The 26847-nt window shown below is 45.0% G+C and overlaps 1 long non-coding RNA gene across 1 annotated transcript in view, besides 2 other annotated features; it reads left to right on the top strand.

The window, feature by feature from the left end:
• LINC01250 (long intergenic non-protein coding RNA 1250) overlaps window positions 1–25091 on the top strand; it is a 230979-nt gene extending 205888 nt beyond the window's left edge. Inside the window, exons 6-7 of the long non-coding RNA NR_110228.1 lie at window positions 22835–22951; window positions 23459–25091. This is a non-coding gene — a long non-coding RNA (long intergenic non-protein coding RNA 1250). The remainder of the gene's footprint in view (window positions 1–22834; window positions 22952–23458) is intronic.
• Window positions 21188–21257: a silencer, noted in NCBI's record as "silent region_11107". NCBI's record gives its function as "represses an Ori minimal core promoter by ATAC-STARR-seq in GM12878 lymphoblastoid cells {active_cell/tissue: GM12878}" and the evidence as "EXISTENCE:reporter gene assay evidence [ECO:0000049][PMID:35858748]".
• Window positions 21278–21337: a silencer, noted in NCBI's record as "silent region_11106". NCBI's record gives its function as "represses an Ori minimal core promoter by ATAC-STARR-seq in GM12878 lymphoblastoid cells {active_cell/tissue: GM12878}" and the evidence as "EXISTENCE:reporter gene assay evidence [ECO:0000049][PMID:35858748]".
• Window positions 25092–26847: the final 1756 nt, after the last annotated feature.

Here is a 26847-nt window from a genome sequence, read left to right as displayed (position 1 = left end):
GCGTTTTTAGCATCAAGTTTACTACTGGAGGACTGTAGGAAAGATATCTATCTAGCTAACAACTTAAAAGCAAACCTCTAAAAATATGACATTTTTCCCTGAAAAAGGAACACTCTACTTGTAGATAAAAGAAAGATAATTGATTAAGCTTGTTATTTACAAAAGAAAAAAGTGCAATGAATTTTAAAGGGGGAAAGAGAGGTTTTTATATTTTTTTCCCTCTAAAGTGGATGGCTCTTTTTTCCTTAATGGAGATGGAAGCCATTATGAGAGACCCTAACAGGCTCCGGGTTTTAGTACAGGAGTGCTCATTCAGTCTCCCAGATCCTGTCGCCGATAAGCCCTGCTCTTACTGGGTGGGTGCAGGGCTGGCAGATGCTGCTCTCAGCCATGTGCTGCTTGCCTGCAGGGCCGGGTGTGTCCAGGCCACTCTGGGGCGTTTAATTCAGGGACTGAGGTTTTTGAAAAATAGATGCTTAGGGATCCAGCCTGGAAACGGCAGGATGGCAGCAGGAAGAATGATGACATCATTTCTCTCTACTTGTTCCCCTTTCCCCTTGGATTATGGTGGCCGGCTTACATGCATTTATTGTATTTCTGGAGTACTTGGAAACAAGATTTATTGTACTTTAAAGGGAAAATAATGAAATGCAAAATCCAACACATCAAAAGACAGTATGTTGCGGGATGCAGGGATGGATGTTGGGGGATGCAGGGATGGATGTTGGGGGATGCAGGGGTGGATGTCAGGGCTTCAGGGCTCCTCTGAAACCTCTTCTACCTGAGGATGCGTCTGTGAGGCCTGCACCTGCACCGACTGCCCACCCAGGTGCACATAGAGGGGCCTCAGCCAGCCCAGCAGCGGGCCTGAGTCTCTCACCGTGGGATGGTTCAGGGTGACAAATCTGCCCACAGTAGCACCCAATCCACCTTCCTCTCATCTTCTGCACTGAATTTCTTTGAATTATTGCCATTGTCTCTGCCCCACTCCCCATCTACTGACACAGCCGTCAGATTAATTGCCTTAATGGCTCTGTTTATGTGATCTTTTTGCTCAGAGATCTTCAATGGCTCTGTATTGCCCATTGAGTTAAGCAAAATCTTCCTCCTTGGGCATTACAGACCCTCCCAAGTGGGGCCCCATGGAAACCTGAGGCTACATCTCCCACAACTCCCCATGTTGACTCATCTTGGTATCCCTAACACCTATCCTGTGCCTGGTAGCAAATTGATGTTTATCGAAAGAGAAGGAGAACATGTCGAAACTATTTAATGATTAACACGCCCTCTGCATTATAGACGGAGAGCAATTTTTGTTTGTTCATGCATTGTCTTCCTTGGTATGTTGCGTTATCAGCTCTCCTTAAAATCCTGCTGATGACATCTCTTTCATTTGGATATTGCTGGCTTGTGGCTTCTGACTTGACACAGAATAAGAGCTCAATGAAAACACGTGGCTCTAACCACTGAACCTGCCCATGCTTTCCCGCTGGAGCTTATTCCTTTCACATCTGTGGCTTTGCTCATGTTGTTCTCAATCCCCTCTTGACTGTCTGAGCTCTGAAATCTCAGCCCTCCTTCAGGGTGCCTTTTACATATGCTTCTTTATAACTGTATATGCTGTGGGTAGTAAAGCAGGAACCTTCTTTCCTTGGCCTTTCTCTAGGTCTTCATTGGCACCTACTCACCTTCATCAAACATGGCGCCATCCTAGCATCACAAGAAGGCACCAGCCCTAGAGGCCGTGGACATCATTTCCAAACAAAGCCAGACTGAATGGTGGACAGCATCCACCTGCTCACCTTAATTTATCAGTGAGAAAATTGGGGTCCTGAGATAGGACGTGAATTGTCCAAAGTTCCGTAACTCAGGTCTCTGAACTCCCACTCTTGGGCTTACCGTTAGAAGAAAGGTGAGTTTGTGTGCAGTGGTGGTGGTTTCTGATACTGACCAGTAAGAGATGACGTCTTTCAAAATATTATCCTTATTCCTGTAACACGGAGTAAAATAAATACTCAATTGTACAAACATAAAACCTAGGTCTCAGAATATCAAGGAACAATTCTACCTAACAATTACTTAACAGTGTAATCTTGATAGATTTATCTTAATAGTATAGCTAATAATCAAATATTTTAAGATATGCCTTCTCTTTATGAAACAGGATAAAGCATTGCCTTTTATTTATAAATCAGGTAGGTCATTAAGGTGAAGAAATCTATGAGTATGTGTGTAAATGTCAGGAAGCATATTCCAAAATTCATGAAAAATTACGTGTACCTGCCCTGCACACCTAGTTAACTATATATACTCTGATCACAACCAAACACCTAGTTTACTGGATCAGCCACGCGTTGGGGGAGTCTCACACAGGGATGCTTCGGGTGTTCCCTGGACTGGTGTGTGTGACATTATAGCTTCCAGGTGAACTATGAGAGCATATAATATTAGATGAAAAGAAAATAAAAGCCTTTAACACTGTTGACCAGACTTGGGGCAAGAACACAAGATCAACTCAGTAGAAAAGGCTTTGAAACTGGGCATGGTGGCTCACACCTATAATCCCAGCACTTTGGGAGCCTGAGGCAGAATGATGGCTTGAGCCTAGGAGTTCGAGACCAGCCTGTACAACATGGCAAGACCCCATCTCCACAAAAAATACAAAAATTAGCTGGGTGTGGTGGTGTTCACCTGTAGTCCCAGCTACTCAGGAGGCTGAGGTGGGAGAATCACTTGAGCCCTGGAAGGTCGAGGCTGCAGTGAGCTGTGATCACACCACTGTACTCTAGCCTGGATGAAAGAGCAAGACCCTGTCTCAAAAAATAAAAGAGAAAAGAAAAAGGCTTTGAAGCTAGAACTTCCCGAATGTAGACCTGAGACAAAGCCCAAGGTGGGGCTTAGGTAAGCGTGATCACAAGTCCTCAGGAAGGCCAACTTTGAGACCCAGGTCAGAACATGACATAAACATTTACACTTAGTTGAATACAGGAATGTGAGTGAACTAGAGTTCCTGTTTACAAAAATAAATGAACAGTGTTGCTGTGTTTTTTATTTTTGTTTTCTCCCATCAGCTTCTCCATTGGATAAGCAAAAAAACAAGTCATTGAAATAAAAATGACCTTGACTTCACTTGTTTCAGGGACAAAAAAGACAGGGCACCTGAAGTTTTGGATGTTTGAAAAATGTGCTAAAGAAGGCTTAATCCCTGGAAGCCGTGAGAAGATCTGTTTTCCAGGTGTTGCCCCAGGGGATAATGACACTCCTCACTGGCCCACTCTGGCTGGGCCAGCACCCATCCTTTCTCCATGACCTTGCATGCGTCCTTCCAACAGAACAGGGTCTATTGAGAGGTAGACCTCTTGAGTCCGGGGTCTGCGTCTACTGTGTCATTATTCAGGGCTGATGCATGCCAGGTGAACAATAAATACAGATGCTTCTCTCATTAACGCTTCTCTATCATTTAATATCTTCCTTACATCTATTCTGAATCTCAAATTCCCTTGTCTAGTTGCCTTGGCAAGTCATCAGATAAAATATGTAAATGCTTGTTATTAACACCTCATCAGATATATGATTTGCAAATATTTTCTCCCAGTCCACAGGCTACCTTTTCATTATGCTGTGCAAAACCTTTTAATCTGATGTTGTCTCATTTTTTTATTTTTGCTTTGGTTGCCTGAGCTTTTGGTGTAATATCCAAAAAATTTATATCGAGGACTTTTTCCCCTATGTTTTCTTTTAGGAATTTTACAGTTTCACTTCTTAAATTCAGGACTTTAATCCATTTTGAAGTTAATTCTATATGGTATAGGCTAATAATCCAGTTTTAGTCTTTTACATGTGGATATTTAGTTTTCCTAACATAATTTATTGAAGAGACTATCTTTCTCCATTCTGTATTTTGGTGGTCTTGCTTAAAATTGGCTGACCATATGTTTTTGGGTTTATTTCTGGGATCTCTGTTCTATTCCGTTGGTCTGTGTGTCTATTTTTATGCCAGTACCATACAGTTTTGATTACTATAGCTTTGCAATATAACTTGAAATCACAAGAAACTCACATAACTCAATATAAAAACAAACAAACAAATATAACCCAATTTTAACAAATGAAAAAAGGACCTAAATATACATTTTTCCAAAGAAGACATATAAATAAATGGCCAGTAGATATATGAAAATGTGTTTAACATCACTAATGATCAGGGAAATGCAAGTCAAAATCACAATGACATATCACTTCATACCTGTTAGATGGCTATTACCAAAAAGTCCAAAGATAACAGTGTGGATGAGGATGTAGAGAAAAGGGAACACTTGTGCACTGTTGCTGGGAATGTAAATTGGTAGAGCTCTTATGGGAACTAGTATGGGGGTTCTTTAAAAAATTAAAAATAGAATTACTGTGTGATCCAGCCATCTGTTTGTTGGATGTATAACTACAGGAAATGCTTTAAGCACCTCATAGAGATATTTGCACTCTCATGTTCATTTAATCATTATTTGCAATAGCCACTATATGAAAACTATCCAAATGTCCATCAAAGGATGAACAGTTACAGCAATTGTAGTATTTCTGCCATTTGCTACAACATGGATGAAACTGGAAGACACTATGCTAAGTAAAATAAGCTTGACACAGAAAGGCTAATACTGCATGATCTCACTTATATGCCAAACTGAAAAAATATAAGTGGAATGCATAGAAGCAGAGGGTAGAATGGTAGTTGCCAGGAGCAGGGAGGGGTGGAAATGGGGAGAGTAGGTGAAAGGTGTGAATTTACAGTTATGCAGCATAAGTAAGTCTAGAGAGTTGTTGCACTGCATGAGGACTATGGCCAATAAGATTGAATAGTACTCTAAAAACTTGCTGAGAAAGTAGATTTTAGGTGCTCTCACCAGACACATACACAGAAAGTAACTATGGAAGGTGATGGATACATAAATTTGTTTGACTGTAGTAATCATTTTACTAAATGTGTGTATATCAAAACATCATGTATACCTTAAACATGTGCAATAAAAATGTATTTAAAAACACTTATTGAGCACCCTTTGTGTGTATAGCACTGAGCTGGGTCCTAGAAAACAACAATATACAGTTTAAGACACATTCCGTGTCCTCAAGAAGCTAAAATTTCATAGGGGAGATAAAATTAGACATATCTAAAGCTAATATAAATTGGGATGCTGCTCAACACATGATTTAATACCAAATTAATGACTCAGCTCTGATTACACGGCTCCTCTCTTATTACATGTTGTTTAATTGCTCATTTGCTTGTATCCTGCTCTATCTGCTGTACTGTAGGCTCTGAGAGACAGAAACTATGTCTGTTTTTAAATTCTGACTTCCAGCAGCTACTCCCAGTTCCAGACACTTGGGGAAGTGGGAATTAGGAAGCATTTATTGAATGAAGGAAGGAAGCAATTAGTTCAGGGTAGGGTGCTTGCAAAAGAGCACCAAAAAAAATAGATGAGGGGGAGTTGAAGCTGGCTCTTGAAAGCAGTGAAACTGTGGACGAATATATGGCCTGCCCATGTCAGTTAACTGGCAGTGAATGGGGTGCCATCTGTCTTCATGAGATGGAAAGAAGACTGGTCGGTCAACCGCAGACTGGACCTGAGTGTAAACCAGTGAGGACAAGAAGCTGCCCCCAGGCAGGGAGCCGTAGCAGCCTCAGCCTCCTTGAGAAAGCTCAGCGCCACATCCTAACCACTAGAGTGCCAGGGATGCTAGGAGGCTCATGTTTGAGATGTGCACTGGTGACTGGCATGCGTTGCCGAGAAAGTGCAGAGGACAGAATAAACATTTCCTCAATTAATTAATAGTGTGAAAGTTGAATGAAAATTAACCTAAAGGGTAATGTGTGTTTATCGCCTAGTTGGTGGGAATCTTGCCCGCCATCAATAATTGCATGTTGGAGTTTTGTGGTGTTGCATGGGGAGTGAATTCGGAAGCTAGAAACTGCTCCCAGGCCCTGCCATGAGCCCAGAAATGCTTCCCATCATTTTGTCTGCGACGCTTCTCTTTCATGACACTGTGCCTCTCCTGCAACTGGAATCAGTGCTTGGCGTTTTATTTACTCCTGATGCATGCCTTTTATTTTGCCTTAAAGATTCTCCAATTACTCTTCAAAACCCACCTCTTAGTGACCCTGCTCCCATGCCTCCAGGCCTTGATTTCCCCTTGGTTTCTTGTCCTTACCCCGGTGCAGTGCTCAGCCCCATTGCAGGCTCCTGCTGAGCTGTGGGGCTCACCAGCGCCCACACCTGTGCCCGTGCAGGGCTGCTTTTTCAGACGGGCCCCCTGCACCCCACCTGCACTTTTGTTGCCTGGCTGGCCCAGGTACCAATCTCCACAACCCCTCCCTGACCGCTGCCAGCTCCTGCCTCCCTTTGCCTGGGCCGGGGGCAGTCCTTCTCTCGCCAGGTCCCCACAGCACTCAGAACGTCTGCTTTATAGCATGGCGGGTAGGTGGTTGTTTCTTCTCAGCTATGTCATCATGGCCAATGACCGAGCTCTATGTTGATATCCTAGTTGAGGGAAAAAATTCAATGATCAAATACATGCATTGGCTTTCTGTTTATCACTCTCTTTATAAATTTAAGCATGTATTTTTAAGTCCTATACCTCATTTATAATTTCCATCGTCTTAATTAATAACTTTCTAGTACAAAAGAGTAGAACACATGGCATTCCAATGCATTACAAAGGATTTGTATACTTTAATTTGCTGAGGACAATAGCAAAGAAAAATCACTTGATTTTATAAATACATAATTAAAATATAATTTTATGTTTCTTCTCTTTAAGAATATCAATTTAAATTTGGTTATAATAAAATTACTAAGCCTGAATCATTTGTGGATATGTGAAGTATAATGACAGGTAAAAATGTTAGTTAGGATATTGTATTTCAGAATTTGCTTATTTGCAAATGTTTCTTCTGTCTCGGTCAACACTAGAGAAAGATATTTATTCTGTGACAGCAGACGTGTAGAGGTGCAGGCAAATACAAAAAACAGGAGGATGTCATGGGTTTGAGGCCTGAGCCGTGTGGCCGGCAGTCCTGCTGTGAGTACAGGCTCCACCTGCCAGTGCTCTAGACTTAGGACTTAGGGGAGCCGCATAACTGGCTGCACCTTGGCTCCATGTCTGCACAATGGAGGCAGGAATGACAGCAGCCACGGAGCTTTCTTCCCACAACATGGGGCTTCTAGACACTAGGGCAGCATCAGGGAGGGGTCCCTCCTGGTGAGAGGAGCATGGACACGAACTCCAACAGCATGAAGGGCTGTGGCCACCGCCTGGGGGACAAGCACTGTGCAAACCTCCATATGGGGCACCTCGCGTCCGTCATTATCTAACCACAGCACAGTGCGATGTTCTGGTCTGTAAAAATGGAAATGCAATGTATTTTTAGAAGTTTTCCCATTTTAGAGTCATCCAGTAATGGGATGGTGAAATGTTTTTTGTTTCGTTTTATTTTTGTTTTTGTTTTGTTTTGTTTTGAGACAGTCTTGCTCTGTCACCCAGGCTGGAGTGTAGTGGTGCGATCTTGGCTCACTGCAACCCCCACCTCCCTGGTGAAATGCATTTTAATCATATTTACATCCACAACATTGATTTTTTTTAAGTGCAGCGGAATGGTGCATGCCCTATGATGCCAGCAAGACAAGGCCTGACCCTCTGACTCTAGGAATGCATAACAGCCTGCCTTGTGGACTCAGAAAGCTCATCACTGGGGCTAATTTGAAAGAAAAGAGCAGAAGAGCTGATGTTTCAACTGTCCAGAGGAACATACAAAAATTGAGACCTCTGTGAAGAATTGGAATTTTTGACCTGAAGAAAAATAACTTTCCACTCCCATGCTGCCTGCCTCATACTAGACACGCTCCCCTGAAACGTGTCTGCTGGTCATTGTGCAGCCCGTTATACACAAGCCGATTGCAAGAACGGATGAGAATTAAACTTCTTCGTAGAGAGTCAATACATCCGACACTCTTGCACTGCACTGCGTCTCGCCAGGTGAAGGGTGAGGATGAATTTGTTCTGTGCAGTTTTCTTCATTGAACACTGAGGGCTCCTAGCACCGGCGGGGTGAGGAATGTGCTCCTTCCTCCTGGGGAGGCCAGTAGCTCCATACAGGAGCGGCTGTAGCTGAGGGGCAAAAAGCCTCCAGGCCGTCCCCAGGAAGGGCAGCTTTTGAACTCTCTGGCCTTGGAAATCCCTTGAGTTTCATGACCTTCAAGCTGAGCACGAGGCCAGGGACATCTGGGGATTTGCGCTTCACCCGCAAATGCCACGGTTTAATTTTTCATGATCACTCCTAAAAGGGGAGTTTGAAGATTTAATGAGGACATTTGGTTGGAGAAAGGCCCTGGAAACACCAGGCTTTTCCTTGGTGGTTTTTTGTTTTGTTTTAGACAGAGTCTCGCTCTGTCACCCAGGCTGGAGTGCAGTGGCGTGATCTCAGCTCACTGCAACATCCACCTCCCAGGTTCAAGTGATTCTCCTGCCTCAGCCTCCTGAGTAGCTGGGACTACAGGCACTTGCCACCACGTGCAGCTAATTTTTGTATTTTTAGTAGAGACGGGGTTTCACCATGTTGGCCATGATGGTCTCAATCTCTTGACCTCATGATCCGCCCGCCTTGGTCTCCCAAAGTGCTGTGATTACTTGATGTTTTATTTAAAAGTGCTACTTGGTGCAGACAGGGCTACTGAGATCTTTGTCTTGGTACTGAGCATGGTTCCTCTCAGGACATTCAGGGTAAGGATAGTTAGGCGCAGCCCTGCTACACGGGCATGGCTGGTTTGGATGAAGGCCTACCATTCTGCTTCATAGAAACAGATGATTTGCTCTTGATAATGATAAGTACAGAGGCCTTAACGCGTTAGGCAGTGTCTGAGGTTTACACTAATTACATCATCAGCACTGCCATTGTAGGCCCACATCTCGAATCAAATGCTGGAGGCAGCACGGCTTAGCAAAGCGATCCTGGACTTTGACTTCCCCCAGACAAGGTGGTGAGAGTTTCTCAGCTCAGTCACTTTATAGCTGTGCAATCTTATATGACTTATTTAATTCTCAGAGACTTGTTTTTCTCATCTGTAAAACTGGAATATTTATCCTGTTAGATTATAAATGACTGACGTACTGCTATGGTTTGGATATGATTTGTCCCTACCAAACTGCATGTTGAGGCTTGGTCCGAAATGGGGTGGGGTTGGGAGCTGATGCCTTCAGGAGGTGACTAGATGGTTAAGATGGATGCATCTCTTTTTCCCAAGTCTGGGTTAGCTCCTACGGGAGTGGATTAGTTTCCACGAGATCAGGTAGTTATAAAGCAAGACTGGCTGTCCTGGTTGGTTCCTTTTTGCACACATCTTCCCCTTCCTCTACTGTAACATGGAACAGGTGCTTCTTGGACTTCCCATCCTCCAAAACTGTGAGCCAAATACACTTATTTATAAATTACCCGGTCTCAGGTGTTCTGTTAGAGCAACACCAAATGGACTAAGACGCACAGCTGCACATAGGAAGGAGTCAATGAATGACAGCTATTAGCACCGTCTGATTAGAACCTGCAACGCTTCCATCTGCTCAGGACCACTTATTCAGCACTTAGATGGTTCCAGGCATGGGCTGGGTGCTCAGGGCAAAAAACAGCTGAGACAGCATTTTTAAACTCAACGTGCTTTCTCATATCAACCTGAAACCTTCATAGATATGAAGATTCAGGGCCACGAATTTTCAGCTTTTGCACCCTTTTAAACTTATACAAGATGGTGGTGTCCTTTATGCATAGTGAGTTCTTTTTCTTCCATTTAGTTCCTCAGGAGGCGGTGATTAAAGCTCAGCAGACAGGTATTTTTCATGATATTCTGATTCCCGCACAGGGATCGCATGGCATGAATGCTTCTTGCCCTGGTCGGTGCTGCCCTAGAATCCTTGTCTGAAGTGTGGTGCTCTGTGGTTGTTTTTCTGCCTCCCCCAGAGTTGAGGCTCCAGGCAACTGTAATGCAGAGATGAGACCAGCACGTTGGCTGCCAATCTGCCCACGACATATCTGCATGGATCCTCTCTGTCCACCCCAAGGCTGCCGCCGTGGTTCTGAGACTCAGCATGTCACCCCGTAAATCCTGTAAAAGTCCTGATGGCAGCCTCCTCCAAGCCATCCTGATTGCGCTATGGGGATGAATCTTATCACAGGCTCGGTCATTTATCACTCCTGCCCAAACTTTCAGTGGACAGCGGTGGTGCTGCCCCCACTGGGCTGGCCTCATTCCTCTCTCAAGGGCACTGTGCTCTCTGCTCCCTCTAACCACACACAGATGGACCTCATGTACACCTTGTCTATGTCTCCTCAGCCTTGGCTCAGTGTGGCCCCACTTCCTCCAGCACCCCCTGAGCTCTGCCCCAAATGATGGCTTCAAAATCAGCCGTCCTTCAAGACCACATCCCGGAGGCTCTCCTCCATAAGGAGCCATTGAACCCTGCTCTGCACTCTGCACACCCAACACTATGGCCAGCCCCGCAGAGGCACCTCCTTCTTAGGGCCTGAGCGTCTCGAGAGGGAGGAACCTCCTCACCATCCCGCCTTTCCCTCCTCCTGCCCCTGTCTTGAAGTCTTTGGAGCACTGTGTCTCTCCCAAACAGAAGTGCTCAAGGAACGTGTGTTGAATTGTGTAGAAACAGACAGAGGGGTACAAGTCACACTTCATGTCTGCGGTCAGCTGTAGTAGACTGTTTCTGCCGGTGCCTGCTCTACCCCCGCCCTGCTGTGATTGCCTGTGCTGGGCTTTGGAAGGAGCTCCACCTGGAGCCCCGTGAGCCTTTTCATGAAGTGCAGGAGGACGCCACAGGCTGTGGTTTCCTCATGATGTTCTGCTACCCAGGGGCCGCCATACCTGTCATTCTTCGCTGTATCTGAGGGGCTGTAATTAGAGTCATAGCCAAAGAGCACTTGCCCTGCACAGCTCCTGGGAGAGGAGGACGGCGTTTCTGTCTGCAGAATTTTGACCGGTTTTGGGCATGGGGCAAACAATCTTTGCAATGGGTTTATGCATGCAAAAGAGTGGCCCTTTGGAAGTTTCTGGCACATACATATGTTCATTTCACTCTCCGCAACCTCAGTGATGCCGGGGAAGGGGTGACTTAGATGGAAAGAAGGACACAGATGATTCCTTAGCCTCATAAGTGTTTACTTCACTTTTATTATTATTATTATTACTTGAGATGGAGTCTCTCTCTGTTGCCTAGGCTGGAGTGCAGTGGCACGATCTTGGCTCACTGCAACCTCCACCTCCCGGGTTCAAGCAATTCTCCTGTCTCAGCCTCCCGAGTAGCTGGGATTACAGGCACCCACCACCATGGCTGGCAAATTTTTGTATTTTTAGCAGAGATGGGGTTTCACCATATTGCCCAGGCTAGTCTCAAACTCCTGACCTCAGGTGATCCGTGCCTCTTGGCCTCCCAAAGTGCTGGGATTGCAGGCGTGAGCCACTATGCCCAGGCTACTTCACTTTTAATTCTCAGTCTGTCCCCACCCTCAAATCTGTGGAGCTAATTATACAGGAACCAAGCTTAAATTAAGCCTCGTATATGGACTTGACTCAAGTTTTGGAAAGAAATGAAAGAAAAGAAAAAGATGCCCTGGACACAGATGTTCCCATCCGTGTTGCAGATGGAAATAGGTCGCAGGAAAAATAAGGCAATGGGTGGAACTTTGAGAAACATGGGCCAGAGTCGGCCGCCTGGAAGTCAGCTCCTGTCTCCTGACACATTGCGGGTGTTTTGCAAACAGCACTTAAGGCTGGGGGTCTGGAATTCTCCATGCTTCCTTCATATCTGTGGTCAACCAGGGAGATTTGAAACAGATATTGAAATCTGTTTTCTCCAGGAACACCCCCACCACAACCCCAAACCAACCTCCATATGAGGAAGGCAGAATACTGGGTGGAGGGAGCCAGGGGCACAGAGAGGCTGGTCCTGACAGCCTGGCATGTGTGAGCACAGGGATGCCTGGTTTCACAGAAGGAGCTCTGAAGCTCCCACACTGGGGCCTGGGATGCACTCCCAGCTCCTACAACCACCAAGGAGGGGCAGGTTAGCCACCTCGTTTCACTGACCCTTGGAGTGGACCCCTAGGGAGGTGGAGTAGCTTTCCAGAGGCCACAGCTGGTCAGGGGTGATGGTAGGATTCTTCCCGCTCTGCAGAGCCCTCCTATGATGAAAGTCAGTTGGATATAAATTTGGCTTTGGGGAAGGGGTTTCACTTCTCTGGCTGTATTTCCTGATCTGTAATGTGAGTGTTGCAGGAGCACGTGAGACATGGGGTCTCTCCCAGTTTGCTCAGGGAGTCTCAGGTGTGTGCCTTAGTGTTTGTTCCAATCTCAGAGCTGGCTTCTGTGCTATATCAGGAATAATTACCAAGACTGGTTGGCGGGGCCTGGCAGGTGCATCTCTGAAAGGCTCTACAAATGCATTGAGGGTTCAGCAAAAAGGCCTGAGATTCAGGTCAGATGTGATAAATAGAAGGGTGGTCTCCAAGTAGTTCTGCCTGTGATTTTGTGGGCTGATGCCCCCAGAAGCTCCTGCAGCAGGTGGGGTCATTCAGAGGGGCAAGAGGCTGGCTGCTTTGACAGCCTCTGGAAGGCTGTGTTTTCTTAGTTCTATGCGGAGAGTTCCCAGGGCATTGGCCTACATAGTTGGTCTGCATTTCACATGAATGTGCATTTTGGTTTTTAACTACATAATTTCTTTATGGAAACCAGTAATTAAAAATATTGTGCTACAAGTGACTCTGCATTGAACATACCTACATACTCAAATAAAACTCACACAACGGGCACTTTAGGGAACTCACTCATGGGGAAAATCACTTCCAACTAGTGCAGTGGTGGCTGGAAGAGGGGATGGAGGAAGGTGTAGGGTTGGCGGCTGTGGGCTGGGGAGAGGGGGTGGAGGAAGGTGTAGGGTGGGCGGCTGTGGGCTGGGGAGAGGGGGTGGAGGGAGGTGTAGGGTGGGTGGCTGTGGGCTGGGGAGAGGGGGTGGAGGAAGGTGTAGGGTGGGCGGCTGTGGGCTGGGGAGAGGGGGTGGAGGAAGGTGTAGGGTGGGCGGCTGTGGGCTGGGGAGAGGGGGTGGAGGAAGGTGTAGGGGTGAGTGGCTGTGGGCTGGGGAGAGGGGGTGGAGGGAGGTGTAGGGGTGAGTGGCTGTGGGCTGGGAAGAGGGGGTGGAGGGAGGTGTAGGGGTGAGTGGCTGTGGGCCGGGGGGAGGGGGTGGAGGGAGGTGTAGGGGTGGGAGGCTGTGGGCTGGGAAGAGGGGGTGGAGGGAGGTGTAGGGTGGGCGGCTGCGGGCTGGGAAGAGGGGGTGGAGGAAGGTGTAGGGGTGGGTGGCTGCGGGCTGGGGAGAGGGGGTGGAGGAAGGTGTAGGGGTGGTGGCTGTGGGCTGGGAAGAGGGGGTGGAGGGAGGTGTAGGGGTGGGTGGCTGTGGGCTGGGGAGAGGGGGTGGAGGAAGGTGTAGGGTGGGCGGCTGTGGGCTGAGTCTTAGGGACCGTTCAGATGGGGACGAGTGGGTGTGGGGAATGGGCACATATTCTGGCCAAAGGGGACAGAGGTGTACTGTCAGGAGGAGCAGGAATGGGGGTGTCCAGGCAGCAGTTGATATAATACTCACCTCCCATTGGGCCTTCAGAAGAGAATTCAGTCACACAAAATACATCTCATCCAGTATTCCTGGAACAAATCTGTTGCAGAGAGTTAGCTCAGCTGTGTTATCCTGTATCTTGTGTTGTGCTTTTCTCACTCAGAACGAGGCTTCGCACTTGCCCGGGAAGATGGGTGCCTGAAGTCGGGGTGCTTTGCTTCTGGTGGAACTCTCACCACGCAGTGGTGATGCAGCAGATCTAAAACGATAGGATTCATAATTCTGCACTCAATCAGACACTGCCTTCTACCACCTTTTAGCATGGAAACTGGTAGAGGGCTCTAAAATTTAAGACAATTCACAGGATAGAAAACGAAAATTAAGCATGTTCCATTTATTATATGATGTAGTATCAACTAGATAAAAGTTAACATTATAAGGTTTAAGATAAGGCCTCAATACAGAAGTGAGATTATATTAAGTCCACTTTATTAATCATCTGCTACCTTCCAGGAACCCTGCTAGGTATTTTACTTCTTTTTTTTTTTTTTTCTTTTTGAGACAGTTTCGCTCTTGTTGCCTAGGCTGGAGTGCAGTGGCGCGATCTCCGCTCACTGCAACTTCCGCCTCCCAAGTTCAAGCGATTCTCCTGCCTCAGTCCCTGAGTAGCTGCGATTACAGGCGCCCGCCACCACGCCTGGCTAATTCTGTATTTTTACTAGAGATGGGGTTTCTCCATGTTGGTCAGGCTGGTCTCGAACTCCTGACCTCAGGTGATCCGCCCACCTCAGCCTCCAGGAAGTGCTGGGATTACAGGCGTGAGCCACTGCACCTGGCTGGTATTTTACTTCTTTTACAATGAATCCTTTTTATAGTTCTGAAAAGTAATTTTGTCCTTATTTTCTATATGAGGAATCCAAGGCTCAGCAAAGTTAAATCATTGGTCCTAAAGAAAGAAGTGGCACGAAGGATAGACCCGTGGGTCTTTCTGACAACAGACCTGCAGCCCTGGGTCTTTCTGACTACGGACCTGCAGCCCTGGGTCTTTCTGACTACGGACCTGCAGCCCTGGGTCTTTCTGACTACGGACCTGCAGCCCTGGGTCTTTCTGACTACGGACCTGCAGCCCTGGGTCTTTCTGACTACGGACCTGCAGCCCTGGGTCTTTCTGACTACGGACCTGCAGCCCTGGGTCTTTCTGACTACGGACCTGCAGCCCTGGGTCTTTCTGACTACGAACCTGCTGCCCTTTCCACTCTCCACTAGTCCATTCTAAGGTCAGAGCACACGTGTTCCGCTGGGGACAGAGCTTGAGAACCATGGCTGATTTCCCATGGGATGGCTGCATGCTTTCCCATCTGCAGGCAGAGGCAGCCAGCTCCCTGCACTCTGCCATGCTCTTCATGAAAGCTGGTGAGGTCTGGGTGCTGGGATTGGTATCTTCTTGTCAAATCTTAATGAACTCGCTTTTCCATTCTGGTTAATTATTCTGACAACAAATGGCACGTGGTTGTGTGAGGACTGCACCCGAGAGTGGAGCTCCAGTACAGGGAACTGTGGCCCCGCAGAGCTCCAGCCGCATTGCGGCAAAAACGCCAACAAACGGAAGCAAGGTCGGGCCTGGACTCTGTACCCCCTCATGCCTACTCTGGAAGTCCCAGATTCTCTCTGTGTGCATTTATTCTGGCCCAAGGATAATCTGGGGTATCTCGACTTGAAATGGTTGGGTTTTTTAAGATGGTGAGGGGAAGTGGAACAGGGATTTCTTTTGAAGACAGGGGTAAATAAATGTGAATAGTTGAGGTTAGCTCTCAGTTTGTCAATCTAAAAGCTTGTGACTCTTCCCAAATGATTTCATTTCTGATCTTTTGCCTCTGGACATACCTCCTCACTCCTACCCATAAGAGCATCCTCTGTCACGCTGGCAGAGATTCGTTTCTTGTCTCTGGATGGGATGTGGGCCCTCTTCTGCTGGGATCCTTCAGTAGCTTCTTGCTGCCCTGGGATCGAGTGTGAGTCCTCTGGCGCTGCGTAAGCCTTGGCTTGCTTCTTCCCTGGTCTCTCTCCCAACACCCAGGCAGCCTCTTAGCCACGCTGACCAGCTGTCCCTTCGTTCCACTGGGCCTTGCCTATGCTGTGCTCTTCGGACCGGCTACCTCTCCCTCAATGCTCAGAAAACTCAAATTCATCCTCTAAGACATAGCTCAAGGGCCACCTCCACTTGGAAGACCTCCCTGATCTCAGCACTTATTGAGATGTTTTAGAGTTGTTATATTCTAGGATGATTTTCTGCTTATTTGTCCATCTCCCTGGATAGATTGTGTAATCTTTGAAAGCAGGGAATATGTCTGGCTTTTCATTTTACCTCCAGGGCTAGCAGACCACTTGACAAATAGCAGGTACTTATGTATATGGGGTGAGAGAGTAAAGTAAGTGATTTCTTTGCGACCTTAGATAAGGAAAACAAGCTTTTGTTGAGAAGATGTATTCACTGTAAAGGAATTTGTTGCAAGCACACATTTATTTCCCAGCAAATGTTTAATAAACGCATCTTATGTATTTACCATGAAGTAGTCTGGGGCGTTAAGCAGGAAATTTGTGTTATGTAAAAGCTTAGAGAAAAGGCATGTTTGGGGGGACTTTAAAAAACAATTCGATTTTCAGTTCCTAGAACAGTGTCTGGCACATGGTAGGCACCTGCTAGGCATTGTTGAATGATCGAATGGTGTGCTCTAGAGCTTAAAAGGATTTTTCATATATGTGGTCTTACATTGAAATTCAAACAAAACCCCCCAAAAATGTGGACAGATTATGATCCCAATTTTAGACTAGAAAATGGAGACACAGAAATGTGAAGTGATTTGTCTCATGTTATTGGACTTGGTCGCATAGTACAGAGCCAGCAGCAGCCGGGCAGAACCTGAAACAAGGTTCATTCTGACTGCTAGTTGGGGAGAGTCTGAGAGCTCACATACACCCTCCATTGTTCATACAACAAACACTCTTTGAGCACCTACAAGGTACAGGCACTGATCTTACGGTTAAATCACTCAGCAGTCAGTAGGCAAGTGACAACTCTGGCCTGCCCTGAAATGAAAGGGGTCTTGCTCATGGAGTGTCTGCAGCACGCTGACTGCAAAGGGGAATGCCAAAGGCATGGGGCCTTCCTCAGAGAGTCTGACTGTGTGCATGAGATGTCCCTGGGCAGAGGACAACAGATGCCAGGGACAACAGATGCCAGGCCCACAGTGATTAGCTTGGGATATAGCTCTGTGATGGCTGTAATGGGATGGAGACCACAGATGATGAGTTAGTACTGCATGCCAGGCCTGTGCTACACAAGCCTTGAGAACACAGAGAGAAACAGCACAGTCACTGTCCTCAAAGCAGTCCCAGCCAGTAGGGAAGACAGACATATACGCAGAGGGAAGTGGTGCATGCTGGGATATGGCCTGTGTGGGGTTCCACTCCATGTCAGGAAGAGGCAGCTAACCAGACAGGGCGCTGAGCAGAGAGCAGGGGATGGCTCATGTGCACCTCGAGGTGGAGTAGGGAGGACAATTCGGGCTTATATTTAAGGCAAAGCAAGCAGCATATTCAAAGCTGAAGTGTTTTTGCAGAACTGGTAAGTTGGAATAAACGCAGCATACGGCACAAAAGGACAGGTGGGAGGAGAAGGCGAGAGGGGGACAGGAAGCCAGGAAGGAATTCCTGTGAACCAGGGAGGCCATCGACAGAGCTGAAGCTAAGAGCTCTCATACAGAGAGGGGTCAGTGCAGGACCAGGCAATATGCCTGTTAGAGGCTTGAAGAAAAAGAAGAGGATAGTGGCATCCAGCCAGTGTGGATGACTTCTAGTGGACCAGAAGTACCTTCTGCCATGCTCCTTGGGTGAAGGCCATCATATCTTCCTCCTCTCATGCTTCTCTGCCTCTGTGCAGACCCTCTGTGCAGACATGCATTCGGATGTTTTTTGAGCAGGTCTGTGCCTTTCCTGGAGTGGGAGTGAGGCTTTGATTCCCTCGAAATCACCCTTGGCACTGCTTCTCCTAGGCTAGAGCTGCAGTTCTGTCCCCCTTACTCTTGAAAAAGCACGTGGGGAGGAGTGCCCCATCAGGAGGTGCCTCTGGTCCAGCCTTCCTCTCGTCACTTCCAGGCTTGCACCACAGCCGTGGGGAGAGCCTGGGATTCCAGCCTGGGCGGCAGAACCTCCCAGGTCCTCCTTCCCTCCCTTGGCAGTTGGCGCTGAGTTCTGATACCTGCTTCTCACCTCCCCTTTGATTTTTGCGACCTGTTTGGATGACTCCCTGGCTTACTGAACTCAGCTCTCAGCTTGATTCTTGATTCTGTATATTTGCTGAATAAATATTGAATGAATGGAGGCCTTTGATCTCCCCACCACTGACAGCTCTTGGAGAGAAACTTCCATGGCCTTGATCTTCTGAGAACCTCGCTGGCCACCTGAGGATGGCTTGTGATGTCTTACCTGAAGAACTGGTGTTGTCTAGGTTAAGTCACATTCTTTTCTGTGAGGCATGAGCAGACCTTGGATGAGACGTTAGAGTGAATGAGAACACCCACAAAAAGTTTTGTAAAGTCTTTGTCTTTCCTGTTAATATTTGGCAACTTGTGTCTCCTCTAACCTAGGGGGTGGTGACTGCCTCTTCCACGTCCAGGAGCAGACCTTGGTCACCATGGAGATGCTTCCTGCTGAGAGCTGCTCACAAAGACTGTACCATGAAATTTGCTTTCCTTTTCTCTTTCAAGGCTTCTCTTTTCATAATGACTTTCAAAACCCAGCAAATGGGAAATGTGTAGGAAGCAGTGAAGGCAGTCCTGCTGTAGCTGGGGGTGCATCGCGGCTTCTGGGAGGGCTGAGACACTGCCTTCATGTGACAAGTATTTTAAACACTGCACCCCATCCTGGAGGGCAAATTGCCCTCCTCAACCAAGTCAGACTTCACAGCAAAGCTGAAACTCATTGCTTTGGCAGCCTCCTCCTCTGTGAGTTGCAGTTCCACATTTTGACAACACTCAAAGCACTCGTGCTTATCAGAAACGACAAAAGATGCTGCCTCGAGATTCTACTGTATCTCTGTGTTTAGAATTCATATCAGTGTTAAAGAAAATTGAAGAACAGTCCTCCCATTATTTTACATATCACTGATGGGCGAGTGGACCATCAGTGATATCAGAAAGGTTATCAGTTTGGTAAGACTAGTGTTTCCAAGTTCTTCTCTCCTACTTTGTAATTATGAAGAAGAAAACACCTGTCCTCTGTGGCAGGGCCTTTTCCAAGTATTGAGTTAAATCAGGAAGTGGAGACTCTGCCCAGGTTCTGTTCTAACACTGAGTGAGCCTGGTCAAGTCACTTGCCTTCTCTGGGATTAACTTATTCACAAAAGGAGTCATTTCAGCATGCATATTCTATGCCACTTGTGTATTCTCTCATTGGCATTTCCTAAGGGGCTCATGTAAAGTGAGGCAGGAAAGAATGAACAATAAAGCCTGACTCGATTCATTACTAGTTATCAAATTCACTTGGGTTGATCTATTTGTATTTAATAATATTTGTCAGTAGGACTGCAAATTACTAATATGAACTGTAGAAAATGAGAAGAAACAAGGAGCCCCACAATAAAACTAAAACACTCCTTCCATAGAGATAGGTGTTTGAGGAAATAAATTCATGGTTATTATTCTATGGGCATATGTGTTTGTGTGCATTTGTTTGTTTATGACTGAAGTGATTCATCCCATACCTACTGTTTGTAACCTACCTTTCTTACTTGTCTACATATAAACAGTTTTATACATTCAACATAAAGACTAGTCTCTATTTTTCTACTGTATTTTTTTTCTGTGATGAAATAGTGTGCCTTCACATTGAGGTACCAGATTACCCTGTCACTGAAGAACACTGAGGTTTATAAATTTGGAAAGGAGAGCTTCATTTCTCCTAAAGGGCTGCAGCCTGCAGACCAGCCATTCTGACTGGCTGGGAAGTGTAGCCTCCAGACAGAAGCTGGAAACAGACACTAGGAGGCAGGGGCAAAGGGAACAGGGATTTTTTGTGAGTGAGGTTGCTGAATATAAATATTCAATAAGCTATAGGAGGAGTCGTGAATATTTATGAAATGAAAAATGCAGGCACGTGCAATTGAGCTTCATGCCTCCTCGACCCATGTTAAAGAAAAATGGTGCTGATAGCTTGATTTGAGGGTAGAGTTTTCTGCTTTCAAAAGGTGCAGCAGAAGACATGAAGACCCTTATTCTTCATCCTTCTAGACTGGCCAGAACCACTCCCTGGCCCCCTGGCCAGTGGTCTGTTATCAGGAAGGAAAGCTGCTCAATTGTGGTACTGAAATTGCAAAAGGGAGAGGCAGCATCTGGTAGTTGGTTGATGTCAGTGGTGGATTCTTTTGAAAGGGCTGGTTTCTGTTTACCCTTAGGGCATAAGCCTAATCACGATTAGCAAGTGAGAGAGTAGAACCATGCCTGCCCGACCTCCTATCCCCTCGTGGCCAGAAACTCTGTTTCCAAGGTTACTCTGGAGTCCTCTTGGAAAGGAGGGGATCTGTTCAGTGAGTTGGGGTCCTTGGGATTTTTTTATTTTTCAATACCTATCCTCCTACGGCTTTTATTTAGTCTATTTCCAATATTTGTCTACTATAAACAATGCTGTGATTAAAAGAGAGCTGGAGATAAATCTTTTTATACTTTCATGATAAGTTTTTAGGGTAAATTCTTAAATGTGGAATTGCTGGTTCAAAAAGAAACTTACAACTTAAAGACTTTGGATACTTATTGACATATTTCTGTTTTGGAAGGCCTTACTCAACAGGTTTTTCACTCTCTTCTGAAAAGTAATTGGGAACTTGTTGGTTCTAATCTTAATAGTTCATCATTAAGATTTTTCTTTCACTTAATCTAAGAGTTGTATGCCAAAAAGAGCATTTAAGCACACATGGGAAATTTATTGGAAGAAGTTTCCTTCTGCCACACACTCCTATCTGCTGACAAGGTCATGGAGAAATTCAGCTTTCAGAACAGCTCATCTTTAACAGTTTTTGTGATAGCTGTTTCCACTAGTCTGATATACTGTTTTTCTTACACTCTTCCTGACTTAATTATTATCAAAATAATTTTGGCTCATGTTAGGATGAAAATATTATATTATTATTGTTTTGAATTGCATTTTTAATTTTGAATAATAAGTATTTGATGCTATACATTTCTTATGACTACAGATTTTGTTGCATGCCATAAATTCTACGTGTAGTTTCCTCATTGTTAATTTCTAAGTAGTGTGTAGTGGTAGTTTTGCCAATAAATCCACTGAAAAAGATTTTAAGAAAATCAAAAGAGGCTTTATTCCAGTAAACAGTTTGCAAACTGGGGAGACACAGCCTTTGGCACAAAACACAGGTGTGTCACAGAGAACAAGGAGGGTTTCTCTTTTATAGAGAAAGTTTCTGCCCCGATTCCCCCTCCTTATGCAAATGAGGGGTGCAAACTTGCTGAGTTCTGATTGGTCAATACAGGTCACAGTACACTGGCTTGTTCAGGCCTCACGAACAGGAACAGACAGGTATGGAAGCCCCTAAGTAGAGGCAGCTGTGCAGAGGACTGGTGTGACCTCCTGTGTGACCTCCTATGTGACCTCCTGTGTGACCTTGTCAGCAGGTGGCCCTGGACTGTCCTTTGAGTTCAGGCCCAGTGAGCCACTCAGGAGCCATCTTGAAGGACTGGCTCTGTGGGGCTTCATAATTTGCTTTATTTCTTTAACTTAAGAGTTATTTAGATTTTTCTCTCTCTCTCTTTTTTTTTTTTTTGGTAATTTTCTTTTTTTTCTTTTTGCTTATCCAAAAGTTCTTTTCAGTTTTGTGGCATTGAGGTAGACACTGTAACTTATATGATAACACATATCTCCCTTGTGAATTGTACCTTCTATCATAATTTTATTCTATTTATTATTTTGGAGAGATTATCTTTCATTTTCTAAGTGTGCATCTACATTCAGAATGTCTTTCTGCCCATTCCTCAAGTAAAATGAGACATTTACCACACTTTTCTTTCTAGTAAATGCTCAGTCAGAAATGCAATTATTTCACATCCTGAGTATTAATATTGTTATTGATCAGTATATTATTAATTAATGATTGTATTAGTTTTGTTAGCCTTTAAAAATTAGGCCAAATTTTTGTGATTTACTTGTTATATTGTTTACTCTCATTTATTTTATATCTTCTTCATTCCATTCTTGCAGTGTTAAATTCTATTCTGTGTTGATTATTTGCAAATATTTTTTCAAGAAAGGTATTCAACTCCTACAACTTTTTTTTCTTTTCTAGTAGGGTCTTTTTGTCAGCCTTAAGTTTGACTATAACCTTTTTTTAGGTAACATTCTTTGAAAGTTTAAAGAATTTTTTCAAGTACTACGCTTTATTTAATACCAATCTATTTTATTTTTTTCATTTGTAGGTAATATGTTATTTTATTGGTAATGGTGGTATAATTTTTAAAAATCCTGAATTACATATATTTGTGTGTATGTATTGCATATATGATTTGTAATAGTTTTTCATAAAATTTAACTACTTTTCTTGATCTTAAGCTTTGGATTTCTCTTTAGTTCCAGAATATGTTTAACCTTTGATTTTTTTTTTTTTTTTTTTTGAGTCAGAGTCTCATTCTGTCGCCCAGGCTGGAGTACAGTGGTATGATCTTGGCTCACTGCAGCCTCTGCCTCCCAGGTTCAAGCGATTCTCTTGCTACAGCCTCCCGAGTAGCTGGGACTACAGGTGTACACCATCACACCCAGCTAATTTTTGTATTTTTTGTAGAGACAGGGTTTCACCATGTTGGCCAGGCTGGTCTTGAACTCCTGGCCTCAAGTGATCTGACCACCTCGGCCTCCCAAAATGCTGGGATTACAGGCATGAGCTGTGCCTGGCCAAGCCTTTGAATTTTGTATGTTCTTTTTACTTCTGGAATTCCTAAATTGGAGCTCTGAGGTTTGCTTTCTTTTGGATTTCACCTCATAATTCAGATCTTAGTTTTTTTCTTCGTTGTTCTAATTCATTGATTTAGTTTTCTGAAGGTTTCAGTCTTCTCCTTTCTGCAGTCTTTAATTAGAGACTATTGTTTTATATGTTTTACACATTCTCTCTTGATTCCAGATCACGGTTCCAAGGTCTGTGGGTGCCACGTTTTTTGAGTTTACCGAGACCACAGATTGGAGACTTCGAAGTGCCCTCCAGGTCCAAGCAGCAGGCCCACCTCGCTGCAGAGACAGGGTGCGTTCAGAGCCCTCTGCTTGTTTTTTAAATTTTTTTAAATTTTTTAAAATTTCTCTGCCTTGTCCAGCATGTTTCCCCCTTGTTGCATATCCTAGAGAGGGAAGTCTGCTTTTCCAAGAATGGAAGCTGGGGTGGATTTCAATGGTGATTAAGTGGCCCCCTATATGAATCTTTCAGACCCATCTAAAAGGCCTGGAAATGCTTAGAGTTTCTGTTATTTTGCTTTTTCGGTTGAGGGATGAATAGCCTCTGAGGGGGATGTGGACACAGAGCAGAGGTGGTGACAGCAGGGAGAGTGACCTCCATGCGATGCTTTCATTCTTTAATTGTCTTCCCTGGAATCTGTTCACAGCTCCGCCTGCTCTGTTAATTGATCTTCTGTACTGTAGCAATCGGGAGCACATTCTGGACGTTGTTCACAGCTCTGCGTAGCACTGAGAGATACTGGAGGGATTCTTCCTGATGAGGTCTCAGGCCATCATTCTTTCTATTCCTTCCCTCCAGGTCTACAGGAGGGTGTCATTTTAGTCAGAACGGCAGAGCCATGGATAACACTCAGTCCTATTATGGAGCTGGACCCGGAACCCAGAAACTCAGAAAAGTTAAGTGATTTGTGAGTAACATCCACATGGAGCCGCTGGAACTGAACTCAAATACAGGTTTAACCTTGGCATTAGCTAAGTGACTGCTGTGGTTTGGATAAGATATTTTTGTCCCCACCAAATCTCATGCTGAAATGGGACCCCAGTGTGGCAGTGTTGGGAGATGGTCCTGGTGGGAGGTGTTTGGGTCATGGGGGCAGAGCCGTTGTGAAGAGCTTCATGCCATTGTTCTATTAGCAGAGAGTGAGTTCTTGCTCTCTCAAGACTGGATTGGTTCTTGGGGGGATGGATTAGTTCCCGAGAGTGGGTTGTGATAAAGCCCAGACACCCCTCATATTTAGTCCTTCTTGGCACCTTCCCACCGCCCATTTGACCTTCTCCACCATGTTTTGACACAGCATGAAAGCCCGCACCAGAAGCCGAGCAGATGCCAGCATCAGGCTTCTTGTACAGCCTGCAGATTCATGGGCTAAATAAACCTCCTTTCTTTATAAATTACCCAGGCTCAGGTATTCCTTCATAGCAACACAGAGGGACTAAGCAGTGGCCTAGAGCAAGCCATATAGATTCATTTAGCTTCAGCCTCTGCAGCTGTAATGTGGGCCTAATAAGAGTGCAGAAGTTAAAGGACTGTGCAAGATTCAGAGAGAATACATGTATGCCACCCAACCTACAGTGGCACGGGGTGGACTCTCAATAAATGGGAATCACTACTGAAACACTGTATACTACTACTATTCTCGTTGCCTAAGGTATTTTAGTTACCTATACTTATTAGTTTTGCAATGAACAATATACCAATTTGTTCAGATCAGAATCATCCTTGGGTGAAAGACGGTTGGGAAACAGGATATTGACATGTTCTTAGTGTATTTCCCCTCAAGTCACTTATTATTTACAAGGAGAAAATAACACCTTTAACTTAGAGATATCTGGTGGTTATCACCTTAACTGAGTGATAAAACTTACATCCCCAGTAATGGGACAGTCTTCTACGTACTTCCTAAAGGGATATGTGGAAAAAGATATGATGTTGCTTGTATAGTGTTCTTGCCAAAAATAGTTAGCCTGAATTGAATTGTGAGAAAGCAATCGAAGTCCAACAATGAGAGATCCTGCAAAACAACTGGCCCAGGCTTCCGAAGTGTTAGAATAAAGGAAGGCAAAGAAAGGTAGTGAAATTATCTTAGATTAAAGGATGCCAAAGAGGTATGATAATAAACGCAGTACAGGGGACTTTGGAAAATTAGGACATGGACTGAATATTAAATAATATCTCCATGTCAATGTTATGTTTTCTGAGTATAATAAGGGCATTTGGTTATACAGGAGCGTGTCCTTGTTTGAAGAAGATACATACTGAAGTATTTAGGAGTAAGAGTCATGATACATGAAACTCCTTTTCAAATGGTTCAGCCAAAAGGAGTGTGTGTGTGTATACAACATGTAGAGAGAGTTGTTTAAAGCAGATGGGGTAAGAAAGGTAAGATTACATACGGTTCTGATATGATACCAATTATATTTGTGATATAACTAAAAAAATTCCTGCTAAGGAGAAAAAAGAAGCAAAGAAAATCATGGTGAATAAAAATAAAAGAAGGTAAAATGTAGACAATTTGTAGCCTTTACATTGCAGGAACATAGTGAGGATTAAACACGACAGGGTGTTAAAAGGTAGGCTGCTATGGTTCCAGTGCTCGAGTCTCCTCTAAAATTCTTTGTGAAACTTAATCCCTTATGCAGCAGTAGTAAGAGACGTGGCTGGCTGGGTGCGGTGGCTCATGCCTGTGACCCCAGCACTTTCGGAGGCTGAGGTGGGCAGATCACGAGGTCAGGAGTTCGAGACTAGCCTGGCCAACATGATGAAACCCTGTCTCTACTAAAAATACAAAATTAGCTGGGTGTGGTGGCACATACCTGTAATCCCAGCTACTTGGGAGGCTGAGGCAGGAGAATCGCTTGCAACTGGAAGGTAGGGGTTGCAGTGAGCTGAGATCATGCCACTGCACTCTAGCCTGGCGACAGAATGAGACTCTGACTCAAAAAAACAAACAAACAAAAAAAAAGATGTGGCCTTTTGGAGGGGATCAGTGTTCTTATGAAAGGGCTGGAGAAAACCAGTTTGGCTTTTTATTTTTTGAGACAGAGTTTCACTCTTCTTATCCAGGCTGGAGTGCAATGGCACGATCTCGGCTCACCGCAACCTCCGCCTCCCGGGTTCAAGCAATTCTGCCTCAGCCTCCCAAGTAGCTGGGAATACAGACATGCGCCACCACGCCCGGATAATTTTGTATTTTTAGTAGAGACGGGGTTTCTCCATGTTGGTCGGGCTGGTCTTGAACTCCCGACCTCAGGCGACCTGCCCACCTCGGCCTAGCTTCTTTTTGCTCTTCTTTCGCTCCTGCCACATGAGGACATGGTGTTCCTGCCCTCTGGAGTATGCAGCAACAAGGTGTCGTCTTGGACGCAGAGACTCGGCCCTCGCTGGACACAGAACCTACCGGTGTCTTCATCTTGGACTTCCAGCCTGCAGAACTGTGAGAAATACATTTCTGTTCTTTATAAGTCACCCTGTCTTAGATATTTTGTTATACTGGCAGGAATGGACAGAGACAAGTACTAAACACATGATCAAAGCTGAACAAAGTTCATTGTAATTTTGCAAACAGATATTTGGATTTTAGTTAAGCTGTGTTTAAAGTGTGCTGGAACTTCATTTGATTAAAAGTAGCCCAGTTGGTTAGACAGGATCTTATCCACAGTGAGACCATGTTCTTGTAGGAACACATGGCAAGGCAAGGGTCCCTGCCCACCAATGGCATGGATGGTGACCTCTCTCCTGTGCTGGCACCTAATGTGCCAGGCAAAACTGGCATGGGGGCAGCTCTCATTTCTCTTGTGTACGTGAAGCTTAGCTTGACAGGTGGCACACAAGACAAGCTTTTTGAAGGCCAGAATGAATACATGACCGAGTTAATGAGTTAATAAATGATTCTTTGAAATGTTTAAAATTATTACAACTATAAGCACTTTTGCATTTTGGAAAAGAGGTTCAGGTGTCTGTAGATATTTTTCTCCTGAAACTTGCATGTACAACCAAAAGATACTTGCTAATGTAATCAATGATAATAATGCAGGCTCCTTCATTGACAAACCCACCTCCCCAGGCGTAGCTGAATTATGTTGAAGGAGCTAAGAGGTAAAGGCTGTGCTGAAGCAACCCCATCACCCATGTTTCTTAGTTGTTTCAAGTATAGCTTTTATGTCAACCTATTGTCTTACTGTCAAATT

This window comes from Homo sapiens, chromosome 2 (genome assembly GCF_000001405.40).
Source record: "Homo sapiens chromosome 2, GRCh38.p14 Primary Assembly".
In the NCBI taxonomy this organism is placed as follows: domain Eukaryota; kingdom Metazoa; phylum Chordata; class Mammalia; order Primates; family Hominidae; genus Homo; species Homo sapiens.
The sequence above is the reverse complement of the archived record's forward strand: the minus strand, read 5'-3'. Positions and strand labels throughout refer to the sequence as shown.